Source organism: Homo sapiens, chromosome 1 (genome assembly GCF_000001405.40).
Source record: "Homo sapiens chromosome 1, GRCh38.p14 Primary Assembly".
Classification (NCBI taxonomy): Eukaryota; Metazoa; Chordata; class Mammalia; order Primates; family Hominidae; genus Homo; species Homo sapiens.
This window is the reverse complement of record NC_000001.11, coordinates 149,309,663-149,329,584: the sequence shown is the minus strand read 5'-3', so window position 1 is coordinate 149,329,584 and position 19,922 is coordinate 149,309,663. Positions and strand designations below refer to the sequence as shown.

Here is a 19,922-nt window from a genome sequence, read left to right as displayed (position 1 = left end):
ATGTTCTGAAATGACACAGTGATAATGATTGCACAATTCTGTGACTATACTAAAAAAACAGATGAAAGAATAAAAAACAAGCTAAATACATGGAGAACTGGCTGGGGACGGTGACTCACACCTGTAATCCCAGCACTTTGGGTGGCCAAGGCAGGCGGATCACTTGAGGTCAGGAGTTTGAGACCAGCCCGGCCAACATGGTGAAACCCTGTCTCTACTAAAAATACAAAAATTAGCTGGGGGTGGTGGCGGGTGCCTGTAATCCAAGCTACTCAGGAAGCTGAGGCACGAGAATCGCTTGAACCCAGGAGGTGGAGGTTTGCAGTGGGCCGAGATGGTGCCACTTCACTCCAACCTGGGTAACAGAGTCAGACCCTGTCTCAAAATAAACAAATAAATAAACAAAATAAATGGAGAGCTCTTCCATATTCATGGATAAGAAGACAGTATTGTCAAGATGTCGATTCTTCCCAACTTGACCCATATATTCAATGCAATTCTAATAAAAATCCCAGCAAATTATTTTGTGGATTTTTATAAACTGATTCTAAAGTTTATATGCAGAAGCAAATACTCAGAATAGCCAACACAATATTGAAGTAGAAGAACAAAGTTGGAGGACACTATGTGAGTAAACAAGACAGTGTGACATTGGCAAAATAATAGAAATATAGATCAATGGAACAGAGTAGAGAGTGCAGAAAGAGACCCACATAAATATAGCCAAAAGACATTTTGCAAAAGAAAATATACAAATGACAAATAAGCATATGAAAAAATACTCAACATCATACATCATTGGGGAATTGCAAATAAAAACGATAATAATGTACTACCACATACCTATTAGAAAGGCCAACACCAACACCAAATGCTGGCAAGAATGCAGAGCAGTCGAAATTCTTATTCATTATTGGTGGGGAATGCAAAAATGGTAGCCACACTGGAAGACGAGTATTTCTTACAAACTAAACATACTCTTACTTTACCATCCAGCAACTGGGGCTTCCTGGTATTTCCCCAGAGTTGAAATTTTACATTCACACAAAACCCTGCACATGAATGTTTATGGCAGCTTTTTTCATGATGACCAAAATTTGGAAGCAACCAAAATGTCTTTTAGCAGGTAAATGGAAAAACAAACTGTGACACATCTACACAATGGAATATTATAAAGTGCTAATAAGAAATGAGCTATCAAGCCATGCAAAGACATGGAGGTACCTTAAATGCATATTACTAAGTGAAAGAAGCCCATCTGAAAAGGTTGCATATGGTATCATTCTGACTATATGACACTATGGAATTGGCAAAACAGTGGAAACAGTAAAAGGATCAGTGGTTGTCAGGGGTTGGAAAGAGGGAGGGATGAACATGTGGCACATGGAGGATTTACATGGCCATGAAACTACTCTATTTGTTACTATAACTGTGGATACATACCATTTTATATTTGTCAAAATCCATAGAATGTACAACACCAAGAGTGAACCTGAATGTAAACTATGGACCTTGGATGATAATGTGTGTCAATGTAGGTTCATTGATTGTATAAATGTACACTCTGGATTTTGATGCGGGGGAGGCTGTTTGTGTCTCGGGGGCAAGATGTATGTATGAAACCTCTATCATCTGTTCAATTTTGTCCTGAACCTAAAACTGCTTTAAAAAAATAAAGTCTACTTTTTAAAATGTCAATTTCAAAGTCTTAGAGCTAACCAAACAAAATGATATTATCAGAACCCAGTGCAATATTTGGAACAATTCAGATTCATAGTTGCTTCCAAACTCATAGCAGAAACTCAAGTAGACAAAGAAGAGGGAACCTTTTAGTGTTAGCCTATCTGGTTTGACAAACATTATATGCCAATTATCTGAGCCTGTGACCTATAACCGTAAAGTCAATTGAGATAAATGTTTACTGTGAAGAGGTTAATCATACTGTGTTTAATATGTGGCAAATGGGGGTTGGAAATCACTTAATAACAGGTCTCCTCTCTCAGAGAGCGACACTTGAAATCTTGGTACTTCATTACTAAATTTAGAAAGTTACAGGTTGGCAGGTTCAGTTTCCAGTTACTATGGTTTAGTGAAATTATTGGTTTTGATTTCCCACCAGGATAATCAAAATCCATTAATTTCCATTTATCTTTTGAATCCCTCTTTTTTTTCTGGCACTAAAGGGCTGATTTGAGTGTGGGTTCTGTTTATTATATAATTTTCACACTGTCTTCTTTTTATTTATTTATTTATTTTATTTTATTTTTTTAGACGGAATCTCGCTCTGTCACCCAGGCTGGAGTGCAGTGGCGAGATCTCAGCTCACTGCAACCTACACCTCCCAGGTTCACTCCATTCTCCTGCCTCAGCCTCCCGAGTAGCTAGGACTACAGGCGCCCGCCACCACGCCCAGCTAATTTTTTGTATTTTTAGTAGAGACGGGGTTTCACTGTGTTAGCCAGGATGGTCTCGATCTCCTGACCTCGTGATCCGCCCGCCTCGGCCTCCCAATGTGCTGGGATTACAGGCGTGAGCCACCGCGCCCAGCAATTTTCACACTCTTTTCTATGTGGACATTTCAAGCCCATACCACCGTGACTCATGCCACTGTCTAGTGCTGTAGAACTGCTTAGACCTATCAAACCTGCCTCTCAATCAAGAGTTCTTCCTTAGTTTCAACTTAAGAATTGTCTTCAGCAAATATCTAAATTGAAACTGCTTCTAATATTTCTGAGCGATAATGGTCTTTTGTTCTTCTTGGGGTTGGCTGAACTTCTGGCATCTGAGAGGTCGATGCCTTTTATCAGTTTTAGAAAATTCTTGAGCTTTGTCTCCTGAAATACTGCTCCTCTCTTTCCTCTCTCTTTCAGGGACTGCAATTAATCACTTATTAGACATTTTTACTGTGTTTTTGAGGTCTGTTATGTTCTTTTCCTTTTTCTCTGTCCTTCAGTTTGGATATTTTCTACAGACCTGTCTTCCAGTTCATGAATCCTGACTTCTGCTGTACTCAGACTGTTGTTAAGCACACCCAAAGGGTTCTTATTTCCAGTTATTGTAATTTTTTTTTTTTTTGAGACAGAGTCTCTGTCTGTTGCCCATGCTGGAATGCAGTGGTGTGATCTTGGCTCACTGCAACATCTGCCTCCCAGATTTAAGCAATTATCCTGCTTCAGCTTCCTGAGTAGCTGGGATTACAGGTGCATGCCACCACGCCCAGCTAATTTTTGTATTTTTAGTAGAGACGGGGATTTCACCATGTTGGTCAGGCTGGTCTCGAACTCCTGAGCTCATGATCCACCTGCCTCAGTCTCCCAAAGTGCTGGGAATACAGGCGTGAGCCACCGTGTCCGGCCTGTAATTTTTAGTTTTAGAATATTTGTCCAATAATTGTTTTTACAGATTCCAATTCTATACTGAAGTAAATTACCCATCTTTCATCTTTGTCCACCTTTTCTTCTATTTTCTTAAAACTATTAATTATAGTTATTTAAAGTCCTGGCCAATTCTAATATCTAGTTCTGTTTCTATTAACGTTTTTCTCTTAGTGTTTAGTCATTTGGATTTGATCTTTTGCATGGCTCATAATTATTTTGTATTGGATCCCAGATATTGTATAAGACAAAATTGTAGACTCTGGATAATGTTACCTACCTCCATAGAGTTTCTACTTTCTACTCCTGGAAAGTAGAAAGAATAGTGGCAGATAACTTTGATCCTGAAAAGGCTTGGTTTCAAGCTTTGTTAGATCTATTTTATTTCAGTATTATATTGCTCTTACTCCAAGGATGTGCTGAGATCTCAACTGAAAACCCTGGGTATCTAGGTACCTTATCAAGGCTTGAAGTCCAACTTCTGTTGGATGCTGAAATCTTCACTTACCTCATTAGACCCTAAACTGCTGTTTTCTGATTTTTTTTTTTTTTTTGGCATCTTTCTTTGTGCATGCTGAGTGTAGGAACTTAGATCACTATCATGATGGCAATTTGCATAGATTGTTGAGCTCCTCTGCAATTCTCCCCTCTTGGAGTTTGCCCTCAATCAGAGGCACTTTGGTAGCCCTCAACTTTGGCCTTTGATATGATTTGGCTCTGTGTTCCCACCCAAATCTCATGCTGTATTGTAATTCCCACTGCTGGGGGAGAGACCTGGTATTAGGTGATTGGATCATGGGGGCAGATTTCCCCCAGGCTGTTCTCATGATAGTGAGAGTGAGTTCTCATGAGACCTGATGGTTTCAAAGTGTGTGGCACTTCCCGCCTCACTCTCTTTTTCCTGCTCCACCATGGTAAAACGTGCTTGCTTCCCCTTCACCTTCCACCATGCTTGTAAGTTTCCTGAGGCCTCCCAGTCATTCTTCCTGTTAAACCTGAAGAACTGTGAGTCAATTAAATCTCTTTTCTTCATAAATTATCCAATCTCAGGTAGTTCTTTCTGGCAGTGTGAGAATAGACTAATACAGCCTCTTATTCTTCAGCCCAGAAAAACTGCTGTATTTTTTTTTTTTTGGCTTTTATTGTCTTGCACTTAGTTTTGAGCATTCCCTCAAGAGAAATATTCCAGGGTAAACACTGAGTTCACCTCATGTGCCTTCTCTCCAGGATCATAGCTTTAAGTTCCGCCTGGTTTAGTTACTCTTCAATGCCTCCAAAGAATTATAGATATAGATATATAGATACTCCTAGGCTTATGATGGGGTTATATCCCAATAAACCTAAGTTGAAAATATTGTAAGTCAAAAATGCACTTAATACACCTAACCTACCAAACATCATAGCTTAACTTACCTTACCTTAAATGTGCTCAGAACACTTATGTTAGCCTACAGTTGGGCAAAATTATCTAATGCAAAGCCTATTTTACAATAAAGTGTTGATTATGTAATTTGTTGAATACTGTAGTGAAAATGAAAAATAGAGTGGTTGTATGGGTATTCAAAGTACAGTTTCTACTGAATGTTTATCACTTTCACACCATCATAAAGGCAAAAAAATTTAAGTCAAACTATTGTAAGTTGGGGACCATCCGTATATGTATAAAGTCATGTATTACTTAATGACAGGGATACATTCTGAGTAATGCATCATCAGACAATTTTACTGTTGTATGAACATTCAGAATATATTTACACAAACCTAGATGGTATAGCCTACTACACACCCAGCCTATTGCTCCTTGGCTGGAAACCTGTACAGCATGGTACTGTACTAAATATTGTGGGCAATTTTAACCTAATGGTAGGTATTTGTACATCTAAACTTGGAAAATGTATAGCAAGTCATATGCAACTGCATATGACCACCAGTTGCATATGCAGTCTGTCTTTGATCAAAACTTGGTTATGCATTGCATGACTATATATATATATACACACACACATATAAATATATACAAATATGTAAATATTTATGCATATTTTATCCCACTTTCCCCCTGAAGTGGGAGGTTTAGTTTGATATATACTACTACATCTTGGCTGGAGTTGGAGGTCTCAGTACTTCATAGCAGTAATGAATGCTGTGGGTTTGCAGTAACTTCACTGAACTGTTTATCTGCCACAACTACAAAAGATGGCTTATTCTCTTTAAGTTATGGAGCCCTATTCCTTTTAATTTGTGTGTTAGATAAAATCTACCACGTGTCTATGGGCAAAACCAAAGTCTGAATCTCTAAAATCTAAGGCCATAATCAAAACTAGGTAATTTATCAATCTAGAGTCATATAATGGGGATTCCTCTTCAGCCTGCATTTGGATAAACCGCATGAACCCAAGAGTTTAGCCCTACCACTCAAGGCCATTGTTTTTAGTTGTGCAGGCTTCAGTGGGTAAGGTGCTATTTATGTAGGTTAAATGGCGGTTGAGTGCTCTGCAATGTGGTGGCCTTGATACCACAGGTTTTTTTTTTTTTTTTTTCTTAGATCTGAATTCGTTTGTTGCGGGGAGAAAAACTAGGGGCAACTGATCTGGCATTGCCTACCTATGCCTGACATGAAATTCGCCAGGACCTCTGGGAGAATACCTCTAGTTAAGCAATAGGATTAGAAGCCTGATTGCAGAAAATTAGGAGGTAAAGAATGATTGGGAAGTCAGAAAGTGTGGACATCAAATGAACACAATATATTAAACAAATTGGATGTGAAGGGAAGTGAGAGATATGGTGATAGGTAGAGAGGGAAGGACTTTGTTTTAAGAGTGAGGAGAGTTAAGCATGTTTGTGGGCTGGGGATGAAGCTAATGGAAAAGGAGAGGAAGAAGATACAAAACAATAAGAGATAATTAAGAATTTTCTGGTAGAGGTTGTTAGACAAAGAGCCCAGATAAGACAGATTGGACAAAGATAAGGAGAGGTAAAGATGAAGCTTAAGTTAGGAGGCTTAAAAGAAAGAATGGGCCAGGTGAGTGGCTCACGCCTGTAATCCTAGCAATTTGGGAGGCTGAGACGGGAGGATCACTTGAGGTCAGCAGTTCGAGACCAGCCTGGCCAACATGGCGAAACCCCATCTCTACTAAAAATACAAAAATTAGCCAGGCGTGGTGGCAGGTGCCTGTAATCCGAGCTGCTCAGGAGATTGAGGCAGGAGAATCGCTTGAACCCAGGAGGCAGAGCTTGCAGTAGGCCAAGATCGTGCCACTGCACTCCAGCCTGCTGGGTGATAGAGTGAGAATCCGTCTCAAAAAAAAAAATCTATCTATCTATCTATCTATCTATCTATCTATCTATCTATCTATCTATCTATAGAGAGAGAGAGAGAGGGAGAGAGTAAAAAAGTAGAATTAATGACTGGATGAGATGGGTAAAAGAGAAATAGGTCCCTGACAAATTCTAGGTTTGGGGATTGAGCAGCTGGGTAGATAGGGCTGGGGTTAAAACACAGAACTGAGCAACAGATTTGGAAGGATGAGCTGAGATGAATTCAGCTTTGTCTGCATTCAGTCAGTCAACAATAATAGCTGTTGCCTATGAACCTTGAGATCCACAGTGCCCAACTACAAAGACAAACCTTGCTCCCCCTCCCCTGCTGAACTTATGCTATATGCAATAGTGTTGCAGAAACATTTTGCTTTGCTGGATACAAAAGCAAACTAGTCTCTGTTTTCAAGGACATATGTAGGATATAAGAACTGGATTTTCAGAATGAATATTTATGGGATAATTTATTTAACTGACCAACTTTAAAAAAAGGTTAAAACACTTTCTTGGTTTATGGTGGATACCAAGCTATATATGCTTTATTATGAGTTCATGGAAAACTGCAATCAGTCTCAACTGAAAGGAAAATGTAGGTTGTTTGGGAGAAAGTTTTTACAATTGAAAAACTCAAGGGAAAATTGAAAGGAAAAGATTTTAGGAAAGAGAAAGAAACAGGGAGAGGAAGAAAAGAGGCTAGCCAACAACCTGCAGTAGTGATTCTGAGGAACTAATAGGAGACGAAAAACTGGATAAATTATAAAAGGATGACTGATACGGGGGCACGGGGAGGAGGATGAAACCGGGGAAAATATTGAGAGAGACAGAAAGAAAAGGAGAAACTTATCTGAGGTTGGAAATAAAGAGAAGGTGACATTGGAGCGGATAGAAAGGAAGAAACGGCGTGGGATCTGGGAATGAGGCAGTGGGTGGAGAGAGAATGGGGAGACGACAGAGGATGAAGGGCAGCTGAGTGTGTCTGCGGGAGAAGGACCAAAGCAATCTGGGCGGAGCAGGTGGCAGAGGCAGCCGCGGAGGAGGCCCAGGGAACTGACGGGGATGCTCAGCCAGGCCCAGAGGATGCGCCCTGGCAGTCCCGGAAAACACCAGGAAAACAAGCAGGAACCGTAGCTAGGACTGGGGTGGCCAGGCCCAGGAAATCCATGAAGGGCACAGACAGCGGGTCCTGCTGCCGCCGCCGATGCGACTTTGGCTGCTGCTGTCGCGCGTCCCGCCGGGCTCACTACACGCCTTACCGGTCCGGGGACGCGACGCGAACCCCTCAGTCCCCACGGCAGACCCCGAGCCGGGAAAGACGGCGCCCGGAGCCAGCCGGGAGCTGGGCAGCAGCGGCCGAGGAGGAAGAAGCAGCTGCGGCGGCCACACCCTGGATGAGGTGAGAGCATGGCCAGCTCCTGCCTCTGGAGCCCGGGAGGCTGAGGAACGCGATGGGGGTGGCAACGCACGGTGCGCTGGGCAGGAGAACCGCGCGGAGGGCTGGGGCCCCGGACTGAAGATCCCGACGCCTGAGAGGGGTTGGCGCTGAGTGACTACTGCTTGGAGAAGGGTAGGGAGGTAATGGGGCCCGTGGTGGAGGCAGGAGGAGGGACAGTGTTGAGTTGCCCAGAAATAAAGGTGTGCCCCTGGAAGGGTTAAAGCATAGGAAGCTCTATCTCGAGGTCTTTGAGACACAGACATTTGCTGTGTTGACGGAGGTGAGATTGCAGGCTGTGTCTGTTGGGTTGAGCCAAAGGAGAGATGAACACATGACTCAGAAGGCTATACCAGGATGGAAACATCAGAGATGGGCATGAAAGTTGAAGGATCGGGAAGTGCACCCGGACGAAAGCACACACTGCCATCTCTTATAGCTCTTCTTTTCAGGGTTATTTCTCTTAGATACAGATCGCAGGGTGGGGTGGGTGGTGATTCCCTCTTCCTGGGCTATCTCTTTTTCCCCTGCAGAGCTGGAGCCCTGCCTGATGGCTGGATGGAGGCCATGCAGGACAAGTTCCTTCTAAAATCAATCCTTTGCTTTGGCCTGGAAGACCGAACATATTAGGCTCAATTTTCTTCGTGTAGCAGCAGTAACATAAAAATCTGTCATACATACGATTTTTGGGAGAAGAGATAGATTGTGCTGCAGGCTTTTTAGAAATAAACATGTCCTCATCACAGCATTTTTAGCTTTTTATCTCATGGAAGGTAGTACTCATAAATCAAACTACCAGGCCTAGTGATTCCAGCCTCTGAGCTAACGGGTCTGTAAAAAGTTACTTCATTTCTCTAGGCCTCAGTTTCCCATGCATAAAATTGGAATTTGGATTAAAACAGTGCTAATTATAAAACTAAATGTTCATTGGATCTGTATTCTATGTTCAGGATAGCTATATTTGTGAACTATGAAATTTAGCCTATTCACTGACAATTTTATTTTTTCATAACACTATCCACTGTTTATGTCAGAAAACAGACTCACATTCAGTTAATAGAGCTTAAATAAATCACATGTCTTCTAAGGAACCCATAATAAATTACTGCTCCTAAGAAAGAATTAAGCAAAAAGTATTCATTGTTTGATTTTTTTATAAAGTAAAATTTTTATTGCCTTATACAAATTACTTTTATAGACATAATTACTTTTTTAAAAAAGCATATCTATGGGATGTTAATTATTTTATAAAATACTTTGAAATTTTATTTAAAGCTTAGAACAAAAAAATTAATCTGAATGTGTATTTATAATTCCAAGGCTCCTTAATCACCTTACGCACACGGGGTGAATTCTTCTTATCTGGAAAGCAGCATTAATCCTGCAGAATTTAAAATGAATTATGACTCCTTATCACAAGAGTATGATTTTTCTCCCTGTCTTTGGTTAAAAAAAAGTTTATAGGGTTAGAATTTGATCCTCTAAATTGTGGTTTAATTGTGAAAGTAGATAGCAAACATTCATGGTTTCCTTAATAGTTACTCATCTGACAAACTACACCTATATTCATCTTCGTTGATGTAATGATAAGTCTTGAAATGTTTTTAAAAAATTTCACAATTCCCAAATGAAACACTTACAGCAACTTGACTGAGGTTAGTGCTACTTTGCCCTTTATTTAAAAATCAATTCCCCAGTTTAGCGTACTTTAAAAAATGTAACAACTTTAGCTATAGTGTTAGAGGTTTAATGAATGTTAGCGTATTAGAGGTTATACTTGGGGAGTGGTGTTTTTGGTACGATTTTCTAACTCTCAATCAACTAAAAAATGTAAAAAAGCAGCCTTGCACGTTATCCAAATTCAGTTCAGTTCAGTGTTACTTATTGAGCAATGATGGTGGAGGCCAGCACAAACTGGATACAAAACTACCCTCAGGTAACTCAGAATCTGTAGTTCTATAATGTGCTTCAGTAACTGGAGTATGGAGTAAGTGCTGTAACAGAAAGATGAACTGTAGACCTCTCTCTCTCTCTCTCTCTCTCTCTCTCTCCCTCTCTCTCTCTCTCTCTCTATTTCTCCAAGGAAAGCTGACTTCCCTAACAGGCCATAGAAAGTGGCATTATCTTGGAAAATATGTTGAAATCTGGTCTTTAACTTGTTAAGTCTGTTTCTTTTCTTTTTCTTTCTTTCTTTTTTTTTTTTTTTCAGAGATGGAGTCTCACTGTGTTGCCTAGGTTGGAGTGAAGTGGTGCAATCATAGCTCCCTGCAGTCTCCAACTCCTGGGCTCAAGGGATCCTCTTGCCTTGGCCTCCCAAGTAGCTGAGATCACAGTTGTGTACCACCATTTCCGGCTACTTTTAAAAAATTATTTTGTGTAGAGATGGAGTCTTGCTATGTTGCCTAGGCTGGTCTCAAACTCCTGGCTTCAAGCAATCCTACCACCCCACCCTCCCAAAGTGCTGAGACTATAGGCATGAGCCACTGCACCCAGCCAAGTCTGTTTCTTAAACTGATAAATCACAGGACTACTATATAAACCCAGAATAACAAATTACTAATTTATAATGAGAATTTTAACATCTTAGGGAACTAGACTCTCTTTTATGATCCCAGCAAAATATCTCTTGGTATATGTGCCACATTTGAGAGCCAAATTACAGCCAAAAGGTTGTTTTTGAAACTTGAATCTAGAGCAAGAGGAATTAATTAGTGGATTCTAAATTTCAAATAATTTGATAGCTTCAGAGCATCAAGGTGTACACATAGGTTCTTTTTTCCTGGACAGTAAGTGTCCACTGATGATTGTCCTCCCTTCTTAGGTACATCTCTTTTTCTATCTCTGATATGCTAATATTTTCAGTCAGATTATAATCTGGTTTGGGGATCCTTGTGACTGTTTCAAGTGTCTACATTTATTCTCTAAATCAGTTTATCTTAATTGTAAAGTTTAAATTCTAAGTGGCAAGCTTATTTTCTTTAAGAAAAAATAATGATGGGGTAGGGAGGTGGGGCTGGGGTACCATATTACAGCCCCTACATGCTGGCAATATAAACCAGGTGGTTAATGGCACCTCTCTATGGTGCTAAAAGGCAGATGAGGCCGGTCACGGTGGCTCATGCCTGTTAATCCCAGCAGTTTGGGAGGCCAAGGCCGGTGGATCACTTGAGGTCGGGAGTTTGAGATCAGTCTGGTCGACATTGTAAAACTCCATCACTAATGAAAATACAAAGAATTAGCTGGGTGTGGTGGTGCGCCTGTCATCCCAGCTACTCAGAAGGCTGAGGAAGGAGGATCACTTGAACCAGGGAGGCGGAGGTTGCAGTGAGCCGAGATTGCACCACTGCACTCCAACCTGGGTGGCAGAGTGAGACTCCATCTCAAAAAAGAAAAATTAAAAAATTTAAAAATTTAAAAAGGCAGATGATCAGAGACGGCTTTATACAGGAGGTGAATTTTTGTCTGGCTTGACAAGATAACAAAGCCAGGTTGAGTGGGAAGAAAATTTTGCCAAAAGAACACAAGCAGATTTATGACAGTGGGAAGATGCTTTATTGAAGTGAATCCCATGCTGTGATAGAAATTTTCTGTGAGGATTTAATTCAAACTCGATCCTTTTTCAAGTATATAACTATTTAAAAAGAGAAATTAAGTGAATTGTCAGCTGTTGGCCATCTGCCTCAATGTGTGCTTTTGAAGCCCAGCAGATTGCACATTCTGTGTAGGTGGATAGCTTGAAACCTGCAGACAACTGTCAGAGGACAATGACTTCAGAGAAGATTCAGTGAATTTCTAACATCAAACTTCAACTACTGTAATATGCTTGTCTAGCCATCTCTTTGTTGTTGCTGTTCTACAGCTTTATTGAGATATAACTGACATACAATAAACTGGGCAAATTTAAAGTGTGCAATTTGAAGTTTCAACGTATGTATATACCTGTGAAATCATCACCACAATCAAGATGACGAACTTATCCATGATCCCAAAAAGGTTCCTTCTGCCCTTTTTAAATTCCTCCTTCCCGCCCCTCTGCTTTTGTCATTATATATTACTTTGCATTTCCTAGAATTTCATATAAATGGAATCATACAGTATCTACTCTTTGTTGTTGTCTGGCTTCTTTCACTCAGCATAATTATTTTGAAACTTATCTATGCTGTTGTGGGTATCAGTAGCTCATTTCCTTTTGTTGCTGAGTAGTATTTCATTGTATGAATGTGCTACACGTTATTGATTCACCATTCGTTGAGTTGTTTCCAGTTTTATGGCTATTACAAATAAAGTTGCTATAATTATCTGTGCACATGTCTTTCATTTCTCTTGGGCACATTTCTCGGGGTATATAACACTAGGCATGCTTTTAAAGAAACTGCCAAATCGTTTTCCAAAAGGGTTGTACCTTTTACATTCCCACTAGCAATGTATGAAGGTTCTCATTTCTCCACATCCTTCTCAATACTTGTTACTGTACATCTTTTATATTATAGCCATTCTAGTGGGTGTGAAATCTTATGGTTTTTTGACTTAAATTTCCCTAATGATTAATGATATTGAGCTTTTTTTTCATGAGCTTGATTATTATCTACATATTTTTGGTAAAGTGTCTGTTGAAATATTTTGCCCATTTTCCATTGAGTTGTTTGGGTTTCACTGAGTTCATTGGGTTCATTTCATATTCTAAATGCAAGTTTTATTATATATGTTCTTTGCAAATATTTTCTCCCACTGTGCAGATTGTCTTTCCATTTTAGTAACAGTGTCTTTTGAAGACCAGACATTTTAAAATTTTGCTGTGGTAAATAAACATTATCAGTTTTTTCTTTTATGGTTCTGCTTTTAATGTCATATCTAAGAAATCATTACTTAATCCAGATTACAAAAATATTCTATTTTTTTCTAGAAGTTTTATAGTTTTGCATTTTTACATTTAGGCCTATGATCCATTTGAGTTAACTTTTGTATATTGTGATCAAGGTGTTTTTTTTTTTCTTTTTTATCTTTTTTTTTTTTTGCATGTAGATGTACAGTTGTTCTAACACTGTTTGTTAAGAGCACTATCCTTTTTCCATTTAATTGCCTTAGCACCTTTGTTCAAATCAATTGACCACATATATAATCGTCTGTATCTGGGTTTCTATTGTGTTTGACTGATTTATTTATCTGCCTTTTTTTTTTCCTTTTTCTTTTTTTGAGATGGAGTCTAACTCTGTTGCCCAGGCTGGAGTGCAGTGGCACAATCTTGGCTCACGGCAACCTTCGCCTCCTGGGTTCAAGCAATTCTACTGCCTCAGCCTCCCTTATCCATCTTTAGACTAATACCAAACTGATTTGGTTACAGTAGCTTTATACGTTTTGAAATCACGTAGTCAAATTCTTGAGCTTTGCTCTTCTTGTTCAAAATTGTTTTCATTGTGTTAGGTTCTTTGAATTTCCATATACATTTCAGAATTCACTTGTAAATGTAGACAAAAAGCCAGTGGGGTATTTGATTGGGGTCACATTGAGTCTATAGATCAACTTATAGAGAATTGATATCTTAACAACATTGGGTCTTCTGATGCATGAACATGACATATTATTTCATTTATTTTGGTTAATGGTTCTCCGCTAAGGGCAATTGTGCATCACAAGGGACATTTGACAGTATCTAGACACAAACAACTAGAGCATCAGAGCCCCTTTGCTGTACCCACAGTCTTGTATTTACAGTCTATACTTCCATTCTTTCAGGAGGTTTGCTCCCAGAACTGGTGATATAAAGAAGGAAAGTAGCAGTATGAGCACTTTGAGGGCTAAGCAATGGGATAATATCTTTCTAAGGGAACAGTTAAATCAACTTCATTTGGTCTTCCATGGACATGAGTTTCAAGTGGCTTTCTGGCCTTTCTTCTGTTGGCCTCTTTGCTATTATGTGAAGACTTCATTTATACTCAATCTAATTCAGCTACCATGGGCCATATCACCAGTGCCCATTGTGTTCTATGCATCCTAATATTTTCATTAATCTGAAGGGGAGAGGGTTTTAACTTTGAAGGATACTCAAGAGGACTTTCTTATGAACTCAGATGGAAAGTGTCCTGAAATTTGTCCTTTTAAAAATATCTGTGCATTTTTTTGTGCTATGACATTCTTACATGTATCATTCTGTGATCAAATCTCCAGCTTACTATAAATGATACCTACATTCTAAAGAGCCAATTCTAGTTGTACCAGCATGGCCTTAGAGAAAAGTAAGGGAATACAATTTGTATTTATCTTCTATTTGGTCGGAGTTAAGTATTTAAAACAGTAAGGTAGATCTCAGATCCACCACCATTAAAAATAAATAAATAAATAAATAAATAAATAAATAAATAAATAAAATAGTAAAGTAGAAAGAAGAGACAAAGATCCAAACCTTTCAAAATGAAAAATGAATTTTAAATATAAGGTTATATTTTATTACCTACTGCTGAGACCATCATTGCATAAATGAATAAATAGAACTAAATAGTCCAGTCACAGTGGCTCACGCCTGTAATCCCAGCACTTTTGGAGGCTGAGGCACGCAGATCACGAGGTCAGGAGACGGAGACCATCCTGGCCAACATGGTGAAACCCTGTCTCTGTTAAAAATACAAAAGTTAGCTGGGTGTGGTGGCATGCGCCTGTAATCCCAGCTACTCGGGAGGCTGAGGCAGGAGAATCGCTTGAACCAGGGAGGCAGAGGTTGCAATGAGCCAAGATCACACCACTGCACTCCAGCCTGGTGACACAGCAAGACTCTGTCTCAAAAAAAAAAAAAAAAAAAAGAACTAAATAAACTCTTCTTCCCCCACAAATTTACCAGTTTAGCCATTTTAAGTGTACAGGTCAGTAGTTGCATTAAGTACATTCACATTATTATGCAACAAGTACCACCATCCATCTCCAAAATTTTCTCTTTTTCCAAAACTGAAACTCTGTATCCATTAAACAGTAGCTACCCATTCTCCCTCCCCTACCTCCTGGTAACCACTATTCTACTTTCTGGCTCTATGAATTTGACTACTCTAGCCACCTTTTATACGTGGGATCATATATTTGTTGTTTTGTCTCCAGCCTATTTCACTTGGCATAATCTCTTTTAGGGTCATCCGTGTTGTAGCATGTGTTGTAATTACGTACTTTTTTGTGTGTGAGATAGTCTTACTCTATCATTCAGGCTGGAGTGCACTGGCACAATCATGGTTCAATGCAGCTTTGACCTCCTGGGCTCAATCGATCCTCCCACATTGGCCTCCCAAATGGCTGGGATTACAAGCAATTTTTTTGATATTTTTGTAGAGATGGGGTCTCAGTTTGTTGCTCAGGCTTATAATGATGTACCTTTTAAAAGGCCAAATCATATTCCATTGTATGTTTATACAACATTTTATTAATCCATTCATCTGTTAATGGAAATTTCAATTGTTTCCACCTTTTGCCACTGTGAATAATGCTGCAACAGATATGGATGTACAGATGTCTCTTTGTGTCCCTGTTTTCAATGCTTTTGGGTTGCAAAAGAAGAGGGATTATTGCATATATGGTAATTCTATATTTAATTTTTTGGAAAGACCATACTGTTCTCTACAGCAGCTGCACCATTTTACATTCCCATCAACAGTGTACAAGGGTTTCAGTTTCCCCATATCTTCATGAACACTGATATTTTCTGTTTTTGTTTTTTAAAATAATTGCCATCCTAATGGGTATAAAGTGAAATATCATTGTGGTTTTGATTTGCATTTCCTTACTGATTAGTGATGTAAAAGATATTTTTAAAGTTTCATATTTACTGACATATTTACCATTTCCAATATTCTTCATTATTTTCATCTGGTATCATTTTCCTTCTGCCTGAAAGAATTTCTTTAATCCTTCTTATTCTTGTGCAGATTTGCTGGTGGGAAAATTCTTTCAGCTTTTGTATGTGAAAAAGTCTTTATTTCACCTTCATGTTTGAAAGATATTCTTGCTGGTTATCAGGACTGACTACATACTTTGTGGGGCTCAATGCAAAATAAAAATGTAGACCCCTCTGTTCAAATATTATTAAGAATTTCAAGTCATCAACAACAGAGCATTAAACCAAGCCAGTCCTTCTGAGTGCAAAGCCCTGTGTGACTACACGGGTTGTATGCACAAGAAACCTACTCTGCTGGTTGTAGAATTCCAGGTGACTGCTCTTTTTTTCCTTCAGCTCTTTAAAGATGTTGCTCTGTTGTCTTTTTTTTTTTTCTGAGATGGAGTTTCGCTCTCGTTGCCCAGGCTAGAGTGCAATGATGCCATCTCGGCTCACCGCAACCTCGACCTCCCGGGTTCAAGTGATTCTCCTGCCTCAGCCTCCTGAGTAGCTGGGATTACAGGCATACGTCACCATGCCCAGCCAATTTTGTATTTTTAGTAGAGATGGGGTTTCTCCATGTTGGTCAGGCTGGTCTCGAACTGCTGACCTCAGGTGATCTGCCCTCCTCAGCCTCCCAAAGTGCTGGAATTACAGGCACGAGTCACTGTGCCTGGCTTCTCTGTTGTCTTTTAATTTTCAAGTTATGCTCTCATTCTTATCCTTGTTTCTCTCTATATAATGTTCTTTTTTCTCCTGAATACTTATAAATTTTTCTCTTTATCACTGATCTTAAGCAATTTGATTAAAATGTGCCTAGGTGTGGTTACTTTCATGTTTCTCGTGCTTTGGATTTGTTACGCTTACCGGATCTGTGTGTTTACAGTTTTCATTATACTTGGACAATTTTCAGCCATTATTTTTTCAAAAATTTTTGTTGCCCTCTATAACTCCGTTCCTTTAGGGACTTCAGTTACATATATATTAGGTCATTTAAATTTTTCCCATTGATCACTGATGCTCTGTTCACTTTTTGTCTTCTTTCTCTTGTTTTATTTTTGGATCATTTTCATTGCTATGTCTTTAAGTTCACTAACTTTTTCTTCTACAGTGTCTAATCTGTTGTTAATTCCATCCAGTGTATTCTTCATCTCAGATATTGTCTTTTTCATCTCTAGAAGTTTGTAACTTTCATGTATTAATTTTTTTTCTTTTTTTTTGAGATGGAGTTTCACTCTTGTCAATGTTACGGTCTCAGCTCCTTGCAACCTGCAATCTCTGCCTCCCGGGTACAAGCAATTCTCCTGTCTCAGCCTCCTGAGTAGCTGGGATTACAGGCACCCACCACCACGCCTGGCTAATTTTTGTATTTTTAGTAGAGATGGGGTTTCACCATGTTGGCCAGGGTGGTCTCAAACTTCTGACCTCAGGTGATCTGCCCACCTCCTCCCAAAGTGCTGGGATTACAGGCGTGAGGCACTGTGCCCCGCCCATGTATTAATATTTTACTTCATTTTATCAATCTTTGTTCTACTTTCTTGAACATTTAAAATACTATAATAACAATTCTAACATTTGTTCAGTTCTGAGTATGTTTCTGGTAATTGATTTTTCTCTTCATTTTAAGTACTGTTTCCTGCTTCTTTGCACACCTGGCAATACTTTGATTTGATACCACACATTAAACATTTTACATATTGGGTGTTAGATAGTTTTGCATTCCCATAAACATTATTGAGCTTTATTCTGGGTCACAGTTAAGTTAGTTGGAAACAGATCCTTCTTGATCTTAAGCTTCATTATGGGGAACCCAAGCAACTTTTTAAAGATGATTAATTTTCCCCATTACTTGGGTGATACCCTTCTAAGTACTCTAGCCAATATCCTGTTAATTATGAGGCTTTTCCCACTTTAGTAGATGATGAAACAAACTACTTCCAGCCTTGTATGAGCCAAGAGGATTGTTTAATCTGATTCTCTTGTGTGGTTCTTACCCCAACCTTGGTAGTTTCCTGATATACCGATCAGTATTCAGCTGAATATTCAAGGAGACTCTCCACAGATCTCTGGAATTTTCTATTCTTTCTGGTACTCTTCCCCATGAACTCTACCTGCCTTGGCCTTCTCAAATCTCTGCATGATCTCTTCAACTCAGGCAGATCACCAGGCTCTGCCTGGATTCCCTCTCTGTGAGCTCTGGGGCAGTTAAGTAGGACAGTTGTATGGCTTACTTTGCTTGTTTCTCTCTTCTCTTGGATAACTTTCCTATGTTGTCTGACATCCAGTGTCTGAAAATAATTATTTTATATATCTTGTCCTATTTTTTAGTAATTTCTGTCAGGGGTGAAGGGGAATGAATACCAACCCTATTACCGCATGCTGTCTGGAAGTAGAAGTGTCTTTCTAGCCACGTTATAAATTAGTAGTTTTCAACCCTGACTACATATTAGAATTATTTGGGGGAGGTCTTTAAAAAGCTGATGTAAGGCTTCATTCCAGACCAATTAAATCAGACTTTTTCAGATTGAGGTCTTAGCATCAGTGTTCTTTAAATGCACTACAAGTTTTCTCATGTATACCAGGGTTAAAGAACCTCCATATTAAAGAAAAGGTTGCATTTATAAATCATTCTGAGAAACTTTTGTATTCTGTCATTTCAGCTAAGACACAGAGGCGGTTGGCTTTTATTTTTGTAGACAGTGTGGAATTATAGAAGCTTTTAAAGAAGAGTCTGGCAGACATAGATCTTTGTTTTAGAGTTGTAAGTGTGGCAATCGTGTGAGAGATGGGCTTAAGTGGATTGAGTGAAGATCACTGAGAAACTGTTGCAAGTGGTTCACGGCCAAAGGTAATAAGGGCCTGAACACAGGCATTGGTATTGGGAATGGCGAGGAAGAGATAGGTTGGAGAATTTGAGTTAGAACTGATAGGATTTTTTGATTAATTGAGTGTGGGAAATGAGGGAGATGGTGGAAACAAATGTTATTCTCCAGTTTATTACTCTAGACAAGTAAACTCTGTCTAAACAAATTCCTAGGCCAGTCAGAGAGTAAATAGTAATTTCATTAACTGAGATAGATAATATGGTATGAGAAGCAGATGTCAGGGAAAGGAGAGAATTAATTTAGTTTGGGATATCCAAAAGGATATCTCATGGAACTGTCTCCTGACCTCTAGTTTATTCTGAATCATAGGACAGAGAAGACATTTAAAAGCATATCTTTTTAGTATGCTGTATAATTTTGAACAGATTTATCTTTCTTCTTTTATTTGACTTAATATTGAAATCTGTTTATATCTTTTTTTTTTTTTTTTTTTTTTTGAGGCGGAGTCCTGCTCTGTTTCCCAGGCTGGCGTGCAGCGGCGCGATCTGGCTCACTGCAAGCTCCGCCTCCTGGGTTCACGCCACTCTCCTGCCTCAGCCTCCCGAATAGCTGAGACTACAGGCGCCCGCCACCACACCCGGCTAATTTTTTGTATTTTTTAGTAGAGATGGGGTTTCACCGTGTTAACCAGGATGGTCTCCATCTCCTGACCTCATGATCCGCCCGCCTCGGCCTCCCAAAGTGCTGGGATTACAGGTGTGAGCCACTGAGCTCGGCCGAAATCTGTTTATATCTCTTAAACAAACATCAGTTAATACTGCAAGAAAGTAGATGTTGGCCGTGCGCGGTTGCTCACGCCTGTAATCCCAGCACTTTGGGAGGCCTAGCGGGGCAGATCACCTGAAGTCAGGAGTTTGAGACCAGCCTGGCCAAAATGGTGAAACCCCCTCTCTACTAAAAATACAAAAAATTAGCCAGGCGTGGTGGCAGGCGCCTGTAATCCCAGCTACTCAGGAGGCTGAGGCAGGAGAATGACTTGAACCCAGGAGGCGTAGGTTGCAGTGAGCCAGATCGCGCCACTGCACTCCAGCCTGGAAACTCCATCTCAAAAAAAAAAAAAAAAAAAA

At 39.6% G+C, this 19,922-nt stretch overlaps 1 protein-coding gene across 3 annotated transcripts in view; it reads left to right on the top strand.

Annotated features, from left to right (window-relative positions):
* Window positions 1–7,492: 7,492 nt before the first annotated feature.
* LOC124904395 (uncharacterized) overlaps window positions 7,493–19,922 on the top strand; it is an 81,309-nt gene continuing 68,879 nt past the window's right edge. For all 3 annotated transcript variants that reach the window (XM_047438030.1, XM_047438029.1, XM_047438028.1), the window contains exon 1: window positions 7,493–8,085. In XM_047438030.1, the coding sequence (XP_047293986.1) occupies window positions 7,853–8,085 (233 nt within the window). In that variant the 5' untranslated portion in view covers window positions 7,493–7,852. The remainder of the gene's footprint in view (window positions 8,086–19,922) is intronic.